This window comes from Homo sapiens, chromosome 5 (assembly GCF_000001405.40).
Source record: "Homo sapiens chromosome 5, GRCh38.p14 Primary Assembly".
Classification (NCBI taxonomy): Eukaryota; Metazoa; Chordata; class Mammalia; order Primates; family Hominidae; genus Homo; species Homo sapiens.
Genome location: NC_000005.10, coordinates 109,524,949 through 109,544,870, shown reverse-complemented (window position 1 = coordinate 109,544,870; position 19,922 = coordinate 109,524,949). Strand labels below are relative to the sequence as shown.

The window sequence follows — 19,922 nt, the reverse complement described above, 5'->3', positions numbered from 1 at the left end:
TAGGCTTAATCCCTGGGTGGTGAAATAATCTGCATAACAAACCCCCTTGACACATGTTTACCTATGTAACAAACCTGAACATCTACCCCTGAACTTAAAATACAATAATAATAATAATAGGCCAGGTATGGTGGCTCATGACTGTAATCCTAGCACTTTGGGAGGCTGAGGCAGGCAGATCACTTGAAGTCAGGAGTTTGAGACCAGCCTGGCCAACCTGGTGAAACCTTGTCTCTATTAAAGATACAAAAATTAGCCAGGCATGGTGGCAGGCGCCTGTAATCCCAGATACTCAGGAGGTTAAGGGAAAAGAATCACTTGAACACAGGAGGCGGAGGTTGCAGTGAGCTGAGATCACGCCACTGCACTGCAGCTGGGTGACAGAGTGAGACCCCATCTCAAAAATAATAAATAAATAAAAATTTAAAAATAATAACAATTTCGTCTACATCTAAAAGAAAATCTGGCTGGTATTTTGATAGGAATTGTGTTCAATGTGTATATAATTTAGGGAAGATTGACATTTTTACTATATTTTGATACTGATAAATGACATACTATACATTACTGTATCTTTATTATATGTACTCATTCAAATCACAGTATCTCTTTACTTTTATTTAGTTCTTCTTTAATTTTTATCAACATTTTGCATTTTTAGCATACAAATACTATACATGTTTTGTTACATTTACACCTATTTCATCTTCTTTCAGCAATTATAAGTGGTATTGCATTTTTTTTTTATTATTACACTTTAAGTTCTGGGATACATATGCAGAACGTGTGGGTTTGTTACATAGGTATACACATGCCATGGTAGTTTGTTGCACCCATCAACCCATTATCTACATTAGGTATTTGCCTAATGCTACCATCCCCTAGCCCCCCACACCCTAACAGGCTCTGGTGTGTGATGTTCCCCCTCCCTGTGTCCATGTGTTCTCATTGTTCAACTCCCACTTATAAATGAGAACATGCAGTGTTTGGTTTTTTGATCTTGTGTTAGTTTGCTGAGAATGATGGTTTCCAGCTTCATCCATGTCCCTGCAAAGGACATGAACTCATCCTTCTTTATGGATGTGTAGTATTCCATGGCGTATATGTGCCACATTTTCTTTATCCAGTCTATCAATGATGGGCATTTGGGTTGGTTCCAAGTCTTTGCTATTGTGAATAGTTCTGCAATAAACATATATGTGCATGTGCCTTTATAGTGGAATGATTTATAATCCTTTGGGTATACAGCCAGTACTGGAATTGCTGGATCAAATGGTATTTCTGGTTCTAGATCCTTGAGGAATCACCACACTGTCTTCCACAATGGTTGAACTAATTTACACTCCCACCAACAGTGTAAAAGCATACCTATTTCTACACATCCTCTCCAAAATCTGTTGTTTCCCGACTTTTTAATGATCGCTATTCTAACTGGGGTGAGATGGTATCTCATTGTGGTTTTGATTTGCATTTCTCTAATGACCAGTGATGACAATATTTTTTTCAAATGTTTGTTGGCGATATAAATGTCTTCTTTTGAGAAGTGTCTGTTCATATCCTTCAGCCACTTTTTGATGGGGTTGCTTGTTTTTTTCATGTAAATTTGTTTAAGTTCTTTGCAGATTCTGGATATTAGCCCTTTGTCAGATGGATAGACTGCAAAATTCTTCTCTAGGTTGCCTGTTCACTCTGATGATAGTTTCTTTTGCTGTGCACAAGCTCTTTAGTTTAATTAGATCCCATTCGTCAATTTTGGCTTTCATTGTCATTGCTTTTCGTGTTTTAGTCATGAAGTCTTTGTCCATGCCTATGTCCTAAATGGTATTGCCTACCTTCAAGGGTTTTTATGGTTTTAGGTCTTATGTTTAAGTCTTTAATCCATCTTGAGTTAATTTTTGTATAAGGTGTAAGGAAGGGATCCAGTTTCAGCTTTCTGCATGTGGCTAGACAGTTTTCCCAAAATCATTTATTAAATAGAGAATCTTTACCCATTGCTTGTTTTCATTAGGTTTGTCAAACATCAGATGTTTGTAGATTTGTGGCGTTATTTCTGAGGCCTCGGTTCTGTTCCATTGGTCTATATATCTGTTTTGGTACCAGTACTATTCTGTTTTGGTTACTGTAGCCATGTAGTATAGTGTGAAGTCAGTTAGCGTGATGCCTCCAGCTTTGTTCTTTTTGCTTAGGGTTGTCTTGGCGATATGGGCTCTTTTTTGATTCCATATGAATTTAAAGTGGTTTTCCTAATTCTGTGAAGAAAGTCAATGGTAGCTTGATGGGGATAGCATTGAATCTATAAATTACTTTGGACAGTATGGCCATTTTCACAATATTGATTCTTCCTATCCATAAGCACAGAATATTTTTCCACTTGTTTGTGTCCTCTCTTATTTCCTTGAACAGTGGTTTCCAGTTCCCCTTGAAGAGGTTCTTCATATTCCTTGTAGGTTTTATTCCTAGGTATTGTGTTCTCTTTGTAGCAATTGTGAATGGGAGTTCACTCATGATTTGGCTGTCTATTATTGGTATATAGGAATGCTTGTGATTTTTGCACATTGATTTTGTATTGTGAGACTTTGCTGAAGTTGCTTATCAGCTTAAGGAGATTTTGGCCTGAGACGATGGGGTTTTCCAAATATACAATCATGTCATCTGCAAACAGAGACAATTTGACTTCCTCTCTTCCTATTTGAATACCATTTATTTCTTTCTCTTGCCTGATTGCCCTGGCCAGAACTTCCAATACTATGTTGAATAGGAGTGGTGAGAGAGGGCATCCTTGTCTTGTGGCAGTTTTCAAAAGGAATGCTTCCAGCTTTTGCCCATTCAGTATGATATTGGCTGTGGGTTTGTCATAAATAGCACTTATTATTTTGAGATACATTCCATCAATACCTAGCTTATTGAGAGTTTTTAGCATAAGGAGGTGTTGAATTTTATTGAAGGACTTTTCTGCGTCTATTGAGATAATCATGTGGTCTTTGTCATTTGTTCTGTTTCTGTGATGGATTATGTTGATTGATTTGCGTATGTTGAACCAGCCTTGCATCACAGGGATGAAGCCCACTTGATCATGGTGGGTGAGCTTTTTGATGTGCTGCTGGATTCAGTTTGCCAGTATTTTATTGAGGATTTTCGCATCGATGTTCATCAGGGATATTGGCCTGAAATTTTCTTTTCTTGTTGTGTCAGGTTTTGGTATCAGGATGATGCTGGCCTCATAAAATGAGTTAGGGAGGATTCCCTCTTTTTCTATTGTTTGGAATAGTTTCAGAAGGAATGGTACCAGCTCCTCTTTGTACCTCTGGTAGAATTCGGCTATGAATCCATCTGTTCCTGGGCTTTTTTTGGTTGGTAGGCTATTAATTTCAGAACTTGTTATTGGTCTATTCAGGGATTTGACTTCTTCCTGGTTTAGTCTTGGGAGGGTGTATGTGTCCAGGAATTTACCAGTTCTAGATTTTCTAGTTTATTTGCATAGAGGTGTTTATAGTATTCTCTGATGGTAGTTTGTATTTCTGTGGGATCAGTGGTGATATCCCATTTATCATTTTTTATTGTGACTATTTCATTCTTCTCTGTTTTCTTCTTTATTAGTCTGGCTAGTGGTCTATCTACTTTGTTAATCTTTTCATAAAACCAGCTCCTGGATTCATTGATTTTTTGAAGGGTTTGTCGTGTTTCTATCTCCTTCAGTTCTGCTCTGATCTTAGTTATTTCTTGTCTTCCGCTAGCTTTTAGATTTGTTTCCTCTTGCTTCTCTAGTTCTTTTAATTGTGATGGTAGGGTGTCGATTTTAGATCTTTCCTGCTTTCTCCTGTGGGCACTTACTGCTATAAATTTCCCTCTAAACACTGCTTTAGCTGTGACACAGAGATTCTGGTATGTTTTATCTTTGTTCTCATTGGTTTCAAAGAACTTATTTATTTCTGCCTTAGTTTCATTATTTACCCAGCAGTCATTCAGGAGCAGGTTGTTCAGTTTCCATGTAGTTGTGTGGTTTTGAGTGAGTTTCTTAATCCTGAGTTCTAATTTGATTGCACTGTGGTCTGAAAGACTGTTTGTTATGATTTTCATTCTTTTGCATTTGCTGAGGAGTGTTTTACTTCCAATTATGTGGTCAATTTTAGAATAAGTGCAATCTGGTGCTGAGAAGAATGTATATTCTGTTGATTTGGGGTGGAGAGCCCTGTAGATGTCTATTAGGTCCACTTGGTCCAGAGCTGAGTTCAAGTCCTAAATATCCTTGTTAATTTTCTGTCTCATTGATCTGTCTAACATTGACAGTGGGGTGTTAAAGTCTCCCACTATTATTGTGTGGGAGTCTAAGTCTCTTTGTAGGTCTCTAAGAACTTGCTTTATGAATCTGGGTGCTCCTGTATTGGGTGCATATATATTTAGGATAGTTACCTCTTCTTGTTGCATTGATCCCTTTACCATTATGTAATACCCTTCTTTGTCTTTTTTGATCTTTGTTGGCTTAAAGTCTGTTTTATCAGAGACTAGGATTGCAACCCTGGCTTTTTTTTTTTTTTTTTTTTTTTTTTTTTTTGCTTTCCGTTTGCATGGTAAATATCCCTCCATCCCTTATCCCTTAATTTTGAGCCTATGTGTGTCTTTGCACATGAGATGGCTCTCCTGAATACAGCACACTGATGGGTCTTGACTCTTTATCCAATTTGCCAGTCTGTTTCTTTTAATTGGGACATTTAGCTCATTTACATTTAAGGTAAATATTGTTGTGTGAATCTGATCCTGTCATTATGATGCTAGCTGGTTATTTTGCCCATTAGTTGATGCAGTTTCTTCATAGTGTTGATGATCTTTACAATTTGGTATGTTTTTGCAGTGGCTGGTACCGGTTTTTCCTTTCCATATTTAGTGCTTCTTTCAGGAGCTCTTGTAAGGCAGGCCTGGTGGTGACAAAATCTCTCAGCATTTGCTTGTCTGTAAAGGATTTTATTTCTCCTTCTCTTATGAAGCTTAGTTTGGCTGGATATGAAATTCCGGGTTGACAATTCTTTTCTTTAAGAATGTTGAATATTGGCCCCCACTCTCTTCTGGCTTGTAGGGTGTCTGCAGAGAGATCTGCTGTTAGTCTAATGAGCTTCCCTTTGTGGGTAACCAGATCTTTCTCTTTGGCTGCCCTTAACATTTTTTCCTTCATTTCAACCTTGGTGAATCTGATGATTATGTGTTTTGGGGTTGCTATTCTCAAGACGTATCTTTGCAATGTTCTCCATATTTCCTGAATTTGCATGTTGGTCTGTCTTTCTAGGTTGGGGAAGTTCTCCTGGATAATATCCTGAAGAGTGTTTCCAACTTGGTTTCATTCTTCCCGTCACTTTCAGGTACACCAATCAAATGTAGGTTTGGTCTTTTCACATATTCCCATACTTCTTGGAGGCTTTGTTCATTCCTTTTCATTCTTTTTTTCTCTAATCGTGTCTTCATGCTTTATTTCATTAAGTGGATCTTCAATCTCTGATATATTTTCTTCCACTTGATTGATTCAGCTATTGATACTTGTGTATGATTCACAAAGTTCTCATGTGTTTTTCAGCTCCATCAGGTCATTTATATTCTTCTCTAAACTGGTTATTCTAGTTAGATATTCCTCTAACCTTTTTTCCAGGTTCTTAGCTTCCTTGCATTGGGTTAGAACATGCTCCTTTAGCTCAGAGGAGTTTATTATTACCCACCTCCTGAAGTCTACTTCTTTCAATTCATCGAACTCATTCTCCATCCAGTTTTGTTCCCTTGCTGGCGAGGAGTTGTGGACCTTTGGAGGAGAAGAGGCGTTCTGGTTTTTGAAATTTTCAGCCTTTTTGAGCTGATTTTTCCTCATCTTTGAGGATTTATCTACCTTTGGTCTTTCATGTTGGTGACCTTTGGATGGGGTTTCTGTGTGGACATCCTTTTTGTTGATTTTGAAGCTATTTTTTTTTTCTGTTTGTTAGTTTTTCTTCTAACAGTCAGGTCCCTCTGCTGGAGTTTGCTGGAGGTCCACTCCAGACTCTGTTTGCCTGGGTATCACCAGTGGAGGCTACAGAATAGCAAAGATTGCTGCCCATTGATTTTTTTTCAATGTTTACCTTATATCCTGCAACCTTGCCAAACTCACTTATTAGTTGTAGGAATTTTTCAGCAGGTTCTTTGGGATTATATAGATAATTATGTCACTTGCAAATCAGGACAGTTTTATTTCTTTCTTTCAAATCTGTAAGATTTTTATTTCCTTCTCTAGCCTTATTGCACTGGCTAAAACATCAAGTGCTATACTGAATACAATTGGTAAGACTGAATATCCTTGCCCTGTCCTGAATCTTAGGGAGAAAGCATTCAATCTTTCACCATTAAATATAATTTTAGGTGTAGGTTGTTGTAGATGCTCTTTGTTCAGTTAAGGAAGTTCCCCTCTGTTCCCATTTTCCCTGAGAGTTTTACCATGAATTAATTTTAACTTTTGTCAAATGTTTTATCTGTATCAATTGATGTGATCATGTAATTCTCCTACTTTAGTCTGTTAATGTGTTAAATTATATTGAATGATTTATACATATTGAACCTGCCTTACATCCCTGTACTAAACTCTTCTTGGTCAAGATATAGAATTCTTATATTTCTGAATTCTATTTGCTAGTATTTTACTAAGAGGTTTTGCATCTATATGCATTAAGGCTATTGTTCTGTAGTTTTCTTTTTATGTACTTTGTCTAGTTTGGGTCCAAAGTAAGACTAGCTTCATGAAGTAAATTTGGAAGTGTTCATTCCTCTTCTATTTCCTGGAAGACATTGTATAGAACTGCTATTAAGTGTTCTTTAAATATTTATAAAAATTCTCTAGTGAAATTATCTGAATCTAGAGATTGCTTTTGTGAAAGTTTATAATTATGAATTCAATTTTCTTAATAGCGAATGAGCTATTCAAACTATTTCATATTGGATAGATTTCAGTAGTTTGTATTTTTTAAAGAATTCATACATTTCACCTAAGTTGTCAAATTTATGAACGTAAAGTTCATAGTCTTATTATCCTTTTGATATTTGCAGGGTCTATAACGATATCCCTTGTTTCATTCCTAATATTAGTAATCTGTGTCTTCTCTTTTTTCCCCTTGTTAGTCTTAGTAGAAGTTTCTGAATTTTATTGATCTTTTTAAAGAACCAGCTCTTTTACTGATTTTCTCTATTTTTTTTGGTTTTCAATTTCAATAATTTCTGCTTATATTTTTATGATTTCTTTCTTTATGCTGGCTTTGAGTTTATTTCGCTCTTCTATGTTCTTGAAGTGAAAGTTGAGATTATTTATTTGAGACATTTTATCTTCTAATATATGCATTTAATGCTATAAATTCCCCTCTTGGCACTACTTTAGCCATGTCCCACAAATTTTGACGTGCTGTTTTTTCATTTTAATTTAGTTCAGGTTTCTTTTCCCCCTGAGACATTCTCTTTAACCTATGCATTATTTAGAAGTGTGTCATGTAATTTCCAATTGTTTGGAGAATGTTATTTTAAACTATTGGTTTCTAGTTCGACTTCATTCTGATTCTTCTGTATAATTCAATTCTTTTAAATTTTTTGGATTTGTTTCATGGCCCAGGATGTAGTGCAACTTGATATATGCTCCATAGGTGTTTGAAAATAATGTGTATTCTGCTGTTGTTCAGTGGAATTATAGATTAGATCCTATTGGTTAATGATGTTGAGTTTTCTACATTCTTGATTTTCTATCTAGTTGTTCTCTCAATTGTTGAGAAAGAAGTGTTAAAGATTTGACTATAATTGTTGATTTGTCTATTTCCTCTTTCAGTTCCATCAGTTTTTACTTCACATATATTTTAGCTCTCTTGTTTGTTGCATACTGATTTAGGACTGCAACATGTTCTTGGTAAAGTAATCTTTTCACTATTATATAATGTCCCTCTCTGTCTTCGTTAATAGTCTTTTTCTCTGAATTCTACTGTATCTGATATTAACATAGCTATTTCTACTTTCTTTTGCTTAAGATTTGCATAATACATCTTTCATCTTTTTGCTTTAAACCTACCTATTTTGCTATATTTGAAGAAAGGTTCTTACAGATAGCATATAGATGGGTCATATTTTTTAATCCACTCTGTCAATCTCTGTCTTCTAATGAGTGTACTAGACTATTTGTATTAATGTAGTTATTGATCTGTTAGGGCTTAAATTTTCCATCTTATTTTTTGTTTTCTGTTTGTTTATTCTTTGTTCTTCTGTTTTCTTTTTTCTGTTCTCTTTGCGGCTTACTTGAACATTCTTTAGAATTCCTTTTTAATTTATCTAAATTGTTGCAATGTGTATCCCTTTATATAGTTTTCCAGTGGTTCTATTATTTGTTACATTATTACATTATTTTTACATAACTTATCACAGACTATTGGTGTTTTTCCTTGGGCCCCAAGGTCGCTAGCTGGTATGCTTTCTCTCTACTTCTCAGTCTTACGTTTGTTTTATGCATAAACGCCAGAGTTTTTCATTGTATTTAGTGAATAATGTGTCTATTTATGTTTATGTCTTGGTGAAAAATATGTTTCAAGAAGGAGAAATTCATTTCTGAGAATTTCAACAAACACATATAATCATGTAACAACTACCATCATCCCCCGAACGCCCCCATACCCCTTTTTGCTCAACTCCTTCTTTCACCCTGCTTATCTGTTTTCTGTCCCTATAGTTTTGCCTTTTCTAGAATGTCATATAAATAGAATCACACAACATGTATGTGGCCTTTTGATACTGGCTTCTTTAACTTAGCACAGAGCACGTGAGAGTCATCCATATTGTTGTGCGTATCAGTACATTGTCCTTTTCTATTGCTGAATAGTATTTAATTGAAAGCTTGTACTGTAGTTTCTTTATCCACTTACCAGGTGAAAGATATTTGGGTTGTTTCCAGTTTGGGGTACTATAAGTAAAGCCACTATACACATTATAGGTTTTGTTATAAATACAAATTTTCATTTAACTTGGGAAAATAAGAAAGGCATAGGATTGCTAGGTCATATTTTAAGTGTATGCACAATTTCATAAGAAACAGCGAATTTTGTTTTCCGAAGTGGCTGTACCATTCTTCCCACCAGCAATATATGACAGTACCAGCAACTTCACATCCTTGCAAATATTTGGTTTTGTCTATTTTTTGGCCATTATAACTGGTGTTTGGTAATATCTTGTGATTTTGACTTAAATTTCCTTAATGACTAAAATTTTTGAACATTTTTTTAATTTTTTTATTTTATTATTATTATATTTTAAGTTTTAGGGTACATATGCACAATGTGCAGGTTTGTTACATATATATACATGTGCCATGTTGGTGTGCTGCACCCATTAACTCGTCATTTAGCATTAGGTATATCTCCTAATGCTATCCCTCCCCCCTCCCCCCACCCCACAACAGTCCCCGGAGTGTGATGTTCCCCTTCCTGTGTCCATGTGTTCTCATTTTCAATTCCTACTTATGAGTGAGAACATGTGGTGTTTGGTTTTTTTTCCTTGCGATAGTTTGCTGAGAACGATGGTTTCCAGTTTCACCCATGTCCCTACAAAGGACATGAACTCTTCATTTTTTATGGCTGCATAGTATTCCATGGTGTATATGTGCCACATTTTCTTAATCCAGTCTATCGTTGTTGGACATTTGGGTTGGTTCCAAGTCTTTGCTATTGTGAATAGTGCCACAATAAACATATGTGTGCATGTGTCTTTATAGCAGCATGATTTATAATCCTTTAGGTATATACCCAGTAATGGCATGGCTGAGTCAAAGGGTATTTCTAGTTCTAGATCCCTGAGAAATCGCCACACTGACTTCCACAATGATTGAACTAGTTTACAGTCCCACCAACAGTGTAAAAGTGTTCCTATTTCTCCACATCCTCTCCAGCACCTGTTGTTTCCTGACTTTTTAATGATCGCCATTCTAACTGGTGTGAGATGGTATCTCATTGTGGTTTTTATTTGCATTTCTCTGATGGCCAGGGATGATGAGCATTTTTTCATGTGTTTTTTGGCTGCATAAATGTCTTCTGGACTTCATGTCTAAAATACCAAAAGCAATGGCAACAAAAGCCAAAATTGACAAGTGGGATCTAATTAAACTAAAGAGCTTCTGCACAGCAAAAGAAACTGCCATCAGAGTGAACAGGCAACCTACAAAATGGGAGAAAATTTTCGCAACCTACTCATCTGACAAAGGGTTAATATCCAGAATCTACAATGAACTCAAACAAATTTACAAGAAAAAAACAAACAACCCCATCAAAAAGTGGGCGAAGGATATGAATTTTGAACATTTTTATGTGCTTAGTTGTCATCTACATATTGTTTTTAGTGAAGGGTCCTTTCAAAACTTTTGCCCATTTAAAAAAATTGAATTCCTTCTTTTCTATTATTGTGTTTTGTGAGTTCTTTACATATTTTGGATACAAGTCCTTTATCAGAAATGTGATTTGCAAATATTTTCTCTCATTCTGTAGCTGTCTTTTCATTCTCTTAACAATGTCTTCTGAAAAACAAAAGGTCTCATTTTTAAGGACGTTCAATATATCAATTTGTTCTTTGATAGATTGTGCTTTTGGTATCATGTTTAAGAAATCTTTGCCTAAAACAGACTGATAAGGAGTTTTTTCTTTTTTTTTTATCCAGCTAATTTTTTATTAAATGCCAGACATTGTTTTTGAAAGATTGTAGAGATAATTTGAGGCTCTGGATGATGTCACCTTCCGCCTAGAGAAAATATACTTCAGCTTCTGTCAGGCAATTAGGTTAGAAGCAGATCACTTTAATCTAATTGGGGACTGAGGTGACTCAAATCTTGGTTTTTGTCTTTGTGAGGGCTGGTCTATTTCTTATTTACTTTAAGTTTTAAGTCATCAAGTGCGGGGGAGTCAGTGCAGGGTGGGGATTGAAAGTCTGAAGTTTTTAACTAGCTTTCTTCTTCCTTGGGTCTTATACTCCAATTTTTACCTCATCATCTCCGTGAGCCTGCCAAAAGCACCACTCAGCTTTTCTATATTTCAGCTGCTGCTTATAAATAAGAAAATGGCTCCGATGAAATTTTGAGCCAAATGGCAGATTCTTTCTTTGCCTCCCTTCTGTCCAGCGTCACATTCTCTCAAGCACAGAGAGGAAACTCTTGGATGCCTTTAAACATTTTTCTTTATCTAGCTTTTATAATTGTATTGAATAGGAGGGTTGGTCTGATACAAGCTAATCTGATATAACCAGAAGAAGAACTCCTCCCCATCAATTTTTACATTGACTCTTCTGGATGTGTATTATTAACTCAGTGTCCCAGTGATTAATTTCCCTTTAGCTAAATTAGCCTATATTGGAAACTGAGACACTATAAACCTATAGGTTCACTTAGCTGTGGGAAATGACTTTAGTTCCTTGAGGAAGCTGAGGTGAAGAAAAGTGTGTTTTTCCGGGACAATGTGTTTCACCAGTTTAGAATGAGAGAATCTGGTATTTAACCACCTGCCTCAGTTAATGTAACAACTTTCTTCACCTAAGTAGCATCAAAAATTTAATTACTTTCTCCTTCAGTTATTTTATGTGCTTATTCCCCCACCTCCTATCCTCTTTAAAAGGTTACTGCTAGCAAACAAATCTGTCAGGTCATATCTGGCATTCCATCCAGTACTTAATAGTGTGGTTCCCTAGGATGATCCAGGATAAAGGAATTTGTCTTCAAAGTGTCAGACGAGAGAGATAAAAAGTTTCCACAGTCAACACTAAATGTCTGATAGCAGCTCAAGAATAATTGAAATAAAAAAATACCAAATATGAATGCACATGCACCAGCTTTCAAAATTGAAAGTAAAATCCTTCTAAGAACCCTGAATAGAGATGCCATAGAGCTCATTGGACCTGCACCACCACTTGGACCAAGTCTAGTGAGATCAAAAGTGAAATAAGTGAAGGTAAATATACAAGATGCAGAAATAGAAACAAAGACAAAGGTAGAAAGGAAACTGTTAAAAGTATAAGTAGTATTTAGCTATAAGAAGAAATAAAATATATAGCCGAGGAATGAGCAGGTTGACTGAAAGAAACAGCTAAACAAGGATCCATAAAGTATGCACACTCTGAGCTGTCTAAACTGAACACCTTTAAAAGACAAGTAGCAAATATGATCAGTGACCATTTGCTCCACATTCAGAGTACAGAATCTTTGGGATTAATTGATCAAAGAAGAGAATTAGAATCCTAGCTTTGCTATTAATTCATGGAGTGACCTTGAGAAGGTCACTTATTTTAGGCTCTGCAAAATGGCAGATTTTTTTTTCTTTTTTTTTTTTATTATACTTTAAGTTTTAGGGTACATGTGCACATTGTGCAGGTTAGTTACATATGTATACATGTGCCGTGCTGGTGCGCTGCACCCACTAACTCGTCATCTAGCATTAGGTATATCTCCCAATGCTATCCCTCCCCCCTCCCCCCACCCCACAACAGTCCCCAGAGTGTGATATTCCCCTTCCTGTGTCCATGTGATCTCATTGTTCAATTCCCACCTATGAGTGAGAATATGCGGTGTTTGGTTTTTTGTTCTTGCGATAGTTTACTGAGAATGATGATTTCCAATTTCATCCATGTCCCTACAAAGGACGTGAACTCATCATTTTTTATGGCTGCATAGTATTCCACGGTGTATATGTGCCACATTTTCTTAATCCAGTCTATCATTGTTGGACATTTGGGTTGGTTCCAAGTCTTTGCTATTGTGAATAATGCCACAATAAACATACGTGTGCATGTGTCTTTATAGCAGCATGATTTATAGTCATTAGGGTATATACCCAGTAATGGGATGGCTGGGTCAAATGGTATTTCTAGTTCTAGATCCCTGAGGAATCGCTACACTGACTTCCACAATGGTTGAACTAGTTTACAGTCCCACCAACAGTGTAAAAGTGTTCCTATTTCTCCACATCCTCTCCAGCACCTGTTGTTTCCTGACTTTGTAATTTTTAATGAACTACCTTTTAGGTTTCTTAAAGGTCTGTGTGGGTATAACCCAACTTCAAATATTGATATAAGGAAAAAATGGGGGGACCTATAATATACTTTCCCTGACATTTCTGCACTTAACAAAATTGATTATGGTGGGATTTAGGTTGTTTTTTTAATCATAGAAGCATGGATTATATAATATATACTTTTCTCTCAATCAACAGTCATTTAATAAACACAAATCACACTGTAAATACAAATATGTATAATTTGTAGAAAACTTGGATCCATACACCTAATTGTCCATGGAAATCATTACCTCAGACTCATACTGAGGTAAGTTTTGTGAATAATTTTACCCTTTATGTAGTGGTTTTTGGATAAGGGGCATATTTACCTTTCTCGGGAAGAAAAGAGACTTTGTCACCAAATATTTATAGAGAAACTAAAATTTCATATCAGCTGCTTTAAATGACCCAGTGTTAACTCCATGCTGTACCTGATGTCAGCTTAATTCATTTTTAATTTTTATATTCTAATTTTGAAACAAAAATCTTATCACTGAGGCCATGATAACTCAAAATCAATCTATGAAACTGATCCTAAAGACTTTCATGTTCCTTTCAGAAATGCTATGGTAATTTATCTTATTTTTCAAAGTCCTACCCCCTCACTTAAAACACAGTTTACCCTAGTGTACCTGCCTCAACATTATCTTAAAATTTTACAACCATTTAGAACACCCAGGGATCTCTGAAGACAACATAGGCCAAGCCTATCATCATACAGATAAGGAATCAGAAACCCAACACAGGTAAGTCACTTAACCAAGGGGACACATGCTTGTTGCCATAAGAATTCTGTTCTGGCTCCCTGTTAACTGATCTTAGAGTCAACAAGTTTATCAAAATCCATTGCATGTAAACCATTTTACTTGGTGTTTAGAGGAATTACAAAACAAAGAAAAAAGTTGTCCTGAAAGCCCCAGGACAACTGGATCCACACCTGGTTTATTCATTACCCAGCTTAGTGCCTGGCATATGAGTGCTCCATCAGGGATTAGCCTGAGCTAAACCTTCATTCCTATACCCATCATCCCCTTCATTTGAATAATCACTTTTTGAGCGCTGATTGTGTATAAGATGCATGAGCTTGTCTGTGGGAACCACTTTCATTTCATGAACAGTGGATGGGTAATGGAAACTGCCCCCTTCCCTGACTGACAACAGGCAAGGGGCCTGGGGCTGTCTGTGGAGGGCTGGAGGAAGCTTGGTTGATGAGTGTAATAAGTGAATATTTAGGAGCTAAACTGGTAAATTGTTCAGGTGCACAAGTATGGAGGTTGGCTAATTAGAGTGGGGAACTGGAATGGAAGAGATGCTAACTAAAATGTATTGAGCACAATTATATGCTGAGCATTTTACCTAAACTAGCTCGTTTAGTCCTCATAGCAATCAGATGAAGTTAAAAACTGTTATCCCCTTTAAAGTTGGAGGACTGGCCAGGCGCAGTGGTTCATGCCTATAATCCCAGCATTTTGGGAAGCTGAGGTGGGAGGATTGCTTGAGGCCAGGAGTTTGTGACCAGCCTGAACAAGACAGTGAGACCCCATTGCTACAAAAAAATTTTAAGCATTAGCCAGGCATGTTGGCACATGCCCGTAGTCAGAGCTACTTAGGAGGCTGAGCCAAGAGGATTGCTTCAGCTCAGGGGTTCAAGGTTGTAGTGAGCTATGATCACACCAACTGCACTCCACTGGCAGTAGAGTGAGACCCCATCTCTAAAACAATATATTTCTAAACAAATTTTTAAGTGGATGGCTGGGAGGGTTAACTGTTTTGCAAGATTGCACAGCTCCTATAAACAGCAAAGGTAGGGTCAGACCTTGTCCTCCTACTTTACTGTACCAAATGCTGCATCAAGACAAGTGAAGGAGATGAGTTAAAGTCAGACATGCCGTGGACTATAGTCAACAAATACAGGACACATCACATCTCTTTCCCAGAGACAAGCAGGACCAGAAAAGGAAGCAAACAGCACAATGCATAGGCCATGATGTGGCTCATAAGCTATGGCTGAGTGCAGAGAAGTCAAGAAGCCTGTGAACAGGCACATGGCCAAAGCCAGAGCCTGTAGCTCGGCTTCTTGCCAGAGAGAACAACTGGACTGACGAGGCTTCTTGGAGACTGCAGGCTGTTTTTTAAAAAAGGGTAGTTGAGTTCCTCTTGGGCAGGCACAACATGGAGGGAAGCCCAGTAAACAGAAATGAACTTGAAGGGCCCAATGAAATCATAGTTGGAAGCACTGCCCAGACCTGCAGCAGCTTTTACCACTTAGACTGTATGTAAAAAGAAGAAATAAAGTCAGGATTTAGTGATCTCCTGCTTCAGGTTTTTGGACCAACACTGTTTGTGTTTTTCCATATTATTTCTACACTCCGAGTAATTGCCATAATCTTGAGGCTTGGGACTGGATTTTCTTCCTGCTTTCATGCCCTTACTTCAGGGGATTTGTTATGGTAAGGTTTAATAAGTGTGGCATGAAGGAATAATATTCCCATTATGTACTGCATACCTTGAAATTTTAACTATACAACCACTAGAAAAATCAAAGTAGGACTCTATAGGCTGGTTCTTGCCTTTCCTTCCACTTTTAATGGAGACTTGAGGCTCAGAGTTTGCATTTAATATTTGTTCAGTGGATGAATGTGGCCCAATTCAGTTGCACTTCTGATGTTCACTATTCATGGCAAGCCCAGTGAGAGTGATTTTTTTGCCCCATTTGTGGCACAACTTTTCAATAGAGTCCTTCTCTGGATTTCACAAATCCAGACTGAATTTAAGATGTCTCAAGGCTTACAAACACGTTTATTTTTGTTATCTATTTAATAAGCCAGAGGCGTTTATAAAGTTCTCAAATACATATATCATAAATTTAATGTAATATATACTATATAGGTAAAGTATCATAACAAATATCTTCTATTAATACTTAATGCCAAAAAAATTAATGCTCATCTGAATGCTGTTTGGTGCCACCATCAAATTTCAGTCTTCAAACATTTAGTTCTCAAACTCACACACTAGAGATTGAACACAATAAATATGACAGGAAAAGGGCTTTTGTTCCAAAGCTCTTTGGAACAAAAATGGTTATGAAGGCCATTTTTTTTTTTTTTAATTGAGACGGAGTCTCGCTCTGTTGCCTAGGCTGCAGTGCAGTGGCACAATCTTGGCTCACTGCAACCTCCACCTCTCAGGTTCAAGCAATTCTCCCGCCTCAGCATCCTGAATAGCTGGGACTACAGGCAGGCACCACCACCCCCAGCTAATTTTTGTATTTTTGGTAGAGACAGGGTTTCACCATGTCGGTCAGGCTGGTCTCAATCTCCTGACCTCAGTTGATCCACCTGCCTCGGCCTCCCAAAGTGCTGGGATTACAGGTTTGAGCCACCACGCCTAGCCCCAAGGCCAATTTATGATAAACTGCTACTTACAAGACAGCCTCTCTCATGCAGCAAGCTCCTTTAAAGGTGAAATTCATCAAGGAAACACAGCAAGCCCAATCCCAGCAGCTCTCGTGGCCCTTCCAAATGTTACCAAGAAAATCATCATTCAGTTGTGTCACTTTCCACCTGAATAAAAGCAAATTTTTCTTTACTTCTAAAATTGTTATCAAAATTGAGCAAGGCTAACAAATATCTGCTATTAATACTTAATGCCAAAACAATTAATGCTCATCTGAATGCTCTGTTTGCTGCCACCATCAAATGTCAGTCTTTAAACATTTAGTTCTCAAACTCACACACTAAAGATTGAACACAATAAATACAACAGGAAAAGAGCTTTTGTTCCAAGAGGTTGCAGCAACTATTTCCTTAATAAATAAAGTCCTTTTTGGTTTCACTGATGCCTTACCCAACAAATTATTTAAGATCTTCCTTTTAGCAAGTTATTGGAGACCTAAAAGTTACAAATGCTTTTCAAGACTTTCTAAATCTAATATAAATCCATGATACAGTGAATAATGAAGCTTCAATATAGCTTTACGAATATAATCTATAGTCAGCCTTGCCAAAGGTTATTCTAAACTTACCAACAGAAACAAAGAAACATAACACATAAAGGCAATATATTTTCCTCAATGTGACTGCATGAAGGAACTATTATAAACACATTCATAAAATGCCCACCAAAAGATTTCATGGTTGTTCCTGAAACTTATGCAAGCAATTTCAATTATTTTCTCCTTTTTTAAAAAATGAAGTCTTATGAACAGAAATAAATTAAAGGCATATCCCTGCATGCAGCACTAATCCATGATGTAAAAAAGCCTGTCAGACTAAAATTAAAATGAAAGCAGTATTACAAACAAATAAATTTCAGCTTTCACTTGGGACAATTAGTAACTGGGATTAACGATATTAGAGACCCAGAAAGTGATTTGGCCTAATTTTTTTTTTTTGTGCAGAATAAATGCTTATTAAGGGTAGTCCCTGTGTGCTATCCTTGAGGCAATTAGACAGTTGTCATCCCTAGAGTTGAAGCAGCTCTTACCTGTAAGCCACTTATTCAACAAACATTTCAGCATCAACCATGTGGCCTGGCAGAGGGATGCAATGGTGAATAGGCAGGTGTGGCCATCACCTCAGGAAGTTCCCAGTTTAGGAACCACTCAGATCCACACTTGCAGCCCTGTACGAGGAAGACTGACTCCTACGACAGCCCCTCATAGGCTCAAGAGGAATATTTATATTCATTTTATAGACAAGAGAAGCACAGAGACATCCTCACCTCCAAGTCACACAACTATTAGTGGTGAGATGGGACTCTGTCTCTGTCTCCTGGCTTCCAGCCTTGGCTCAAATCTGGTAAAGTCACCCCTCTTTGATCTCAAGGTTTTGAGTTTAGACTTGATAATGGAGGCGCCAATATCAGAAACACAGTAGTTGAGAAAAGAACCTGGAGATCAGGTGAGATGGAGACATAAATCTAAAAGCTATGAAGTGATCATGACATTTATTTGTATAAAAAGCAAACACTAACAAGAAAATCCAATGCTACTGCATAAGAATAAAAGTAGCATTCACTATATCATGAATTTATATTAGATTTAGAAAGTCTTACAAGCATTTATAACATTTAGGTTTCCAGTAGCATGCACATGCCTGGCACTGTTATAAGCATTTTGTGTGCATTAATTCCTTCTAAAAATCCCTGTAAGATAGCTTTAATCCCCACTGTATAAATGAGGAAATGAAAACACAGAGAAGTTAAATAATTTGCCCAAGATCACACAGCTAGTAAATGACCCATGGCGGAACTGGAACTAGGTAGTTTGACCCCGGAGTCTATGATTTTAACCATTATGCTGCACTGCCTCTCCTAAGAAAGAAGCAAAAGCTCTAGAAGGATATTTGCCTGCCACTCAAATGTTCTTTCATTCCTTCAGAGATTATGGTGTACAGAATAACAACAGCCATTTCTTTCTCTCTGTTTCACAGTACTGTTATAGGCTTTTATAGGTAAATATGCATTCTTCTCTTCTGTCTCCTAGGAAAAGCCCACTGCCCCTTACCTAGAAATTGGGGGAAAGTTGTTCCTATACTCCATTCACTTACTACTAGCTCTGCCCTAACTGCATATTTCTTGGTATTCCTTTTCAAGCATTAGCCTTTGTGACCTTCAAAATCAATAGTGTCTTATCCTGCAGGGATATCGGAAAATCAAAGCTGTAGGCAAGTATGGGACTGTCATTGGCTAAGAAAAATGCCATGTCCTTAGTGGCACTGTGGCCACACAAAATGGAATTGACCTGCGTAGACAGCAAAGGGCTTTGCTCTAAAATAACAGAGCTAGAATTCTTTTTGTTATTAAGAAATGGAATTTAGAAAATCACATTACCAGTAAGTCCAAGGGTAAACTAGTTTTTCACCTATCATGATACAAGAATCATTGTGTTTGAACTTGCTAATTAGCCAGGAATGGAGCCAGTTCCACTTTGGTACCAGTCACCTAAATCTCATGGCCAAGAGTCAGGGAAGAGTGGCTCTCAGAAGTAAAATCATTGCTTTTGCTATTTTAAAAAGCAAATAAAATAGGAATACATGAGGCAGATACAAACCCACAGCAGGCAACTATGGGATCCCAGTCTCTACCTCCCAGCTTGAGAAACTGAAGCAAATCTTGCTTGCCTGATAGCATTTTGGAGTGTTGTGGATATAGGCAATGATTTTCCCTATGCAAAGCAGATAATATAGAGGAGGGAAGACAACAGTTTTGAGCAGTCTAGTGCCAAGCACAGTACTGGGTGGGGGATTGTTCATCTACTCAGCACTACTTTTGGCTTTACCACAATTTTCTTTGCAAGTTATCACAAGAGACTGTTTTGTTATTCAGCCTGAATAACTATATTGACACTTAGAATTCCATAATTGTGTTGAGGAAAAAAATCAACAATTATTTGGGTTTCATGAAATGAATATTTGATCAATTCAACAAAGAATATGGAAATGGGAAAGTAATTGCATTTTGATTAAGTTGTTTCTGCTGTCAAGTCACCAGAGATTGCTATCTGGTTGGAAATTAAGTCAATGCCATGGGATTGGGTGACCAAAAAGTCCATTTTTTAAAATGTCCTCACTAGACTCCATGCAACCACCTATGTCTACATGTTTTAACTACTTCAGTTGTTGTGACTCTGACTTGATTACTCACAAAATCTAAATGCTAACATTGGAAGGAGACTTAGAAAATTTACAGATGAGAGACCAGAGGCCCTAAAAGCTGGGAATAAAATTTAGGTCATTTCATATCAGGGGAAAATTTCAATGTAAACAAACAAGTTTTAGCATTTAGCCCTAGCCTAAGATTATGTCTAACATAGTGGTGAAAAGTGAGATCATCTTCCTATGATATAGTTTTTGATTCCAT

General features: G+C 37.0%; 1 long non-coding RNA gene across 2 annotated transcripts in view; it reads right to left on the bottom strand.

Moving 5' to 3' along the window:
* The window catches only part of LOC105379117 (uncharacterized), a 122,892-nt gene that overhangs the window by 29,465 nt on the left and 73,505 nt on the right, over positions 1-19,922 (bottom strand). For both annotated transcript variants that reach the window (XR_001742838.2, XR_948660.3), the window contains one exon: positions 16,487-16,624. This is a non-coding gene — a long non-coding RNA (uncharacterized LOC105379117). The remainder of the gene's footprint in view (positions 1-16,486; positions 16,625-19,922) is intronic.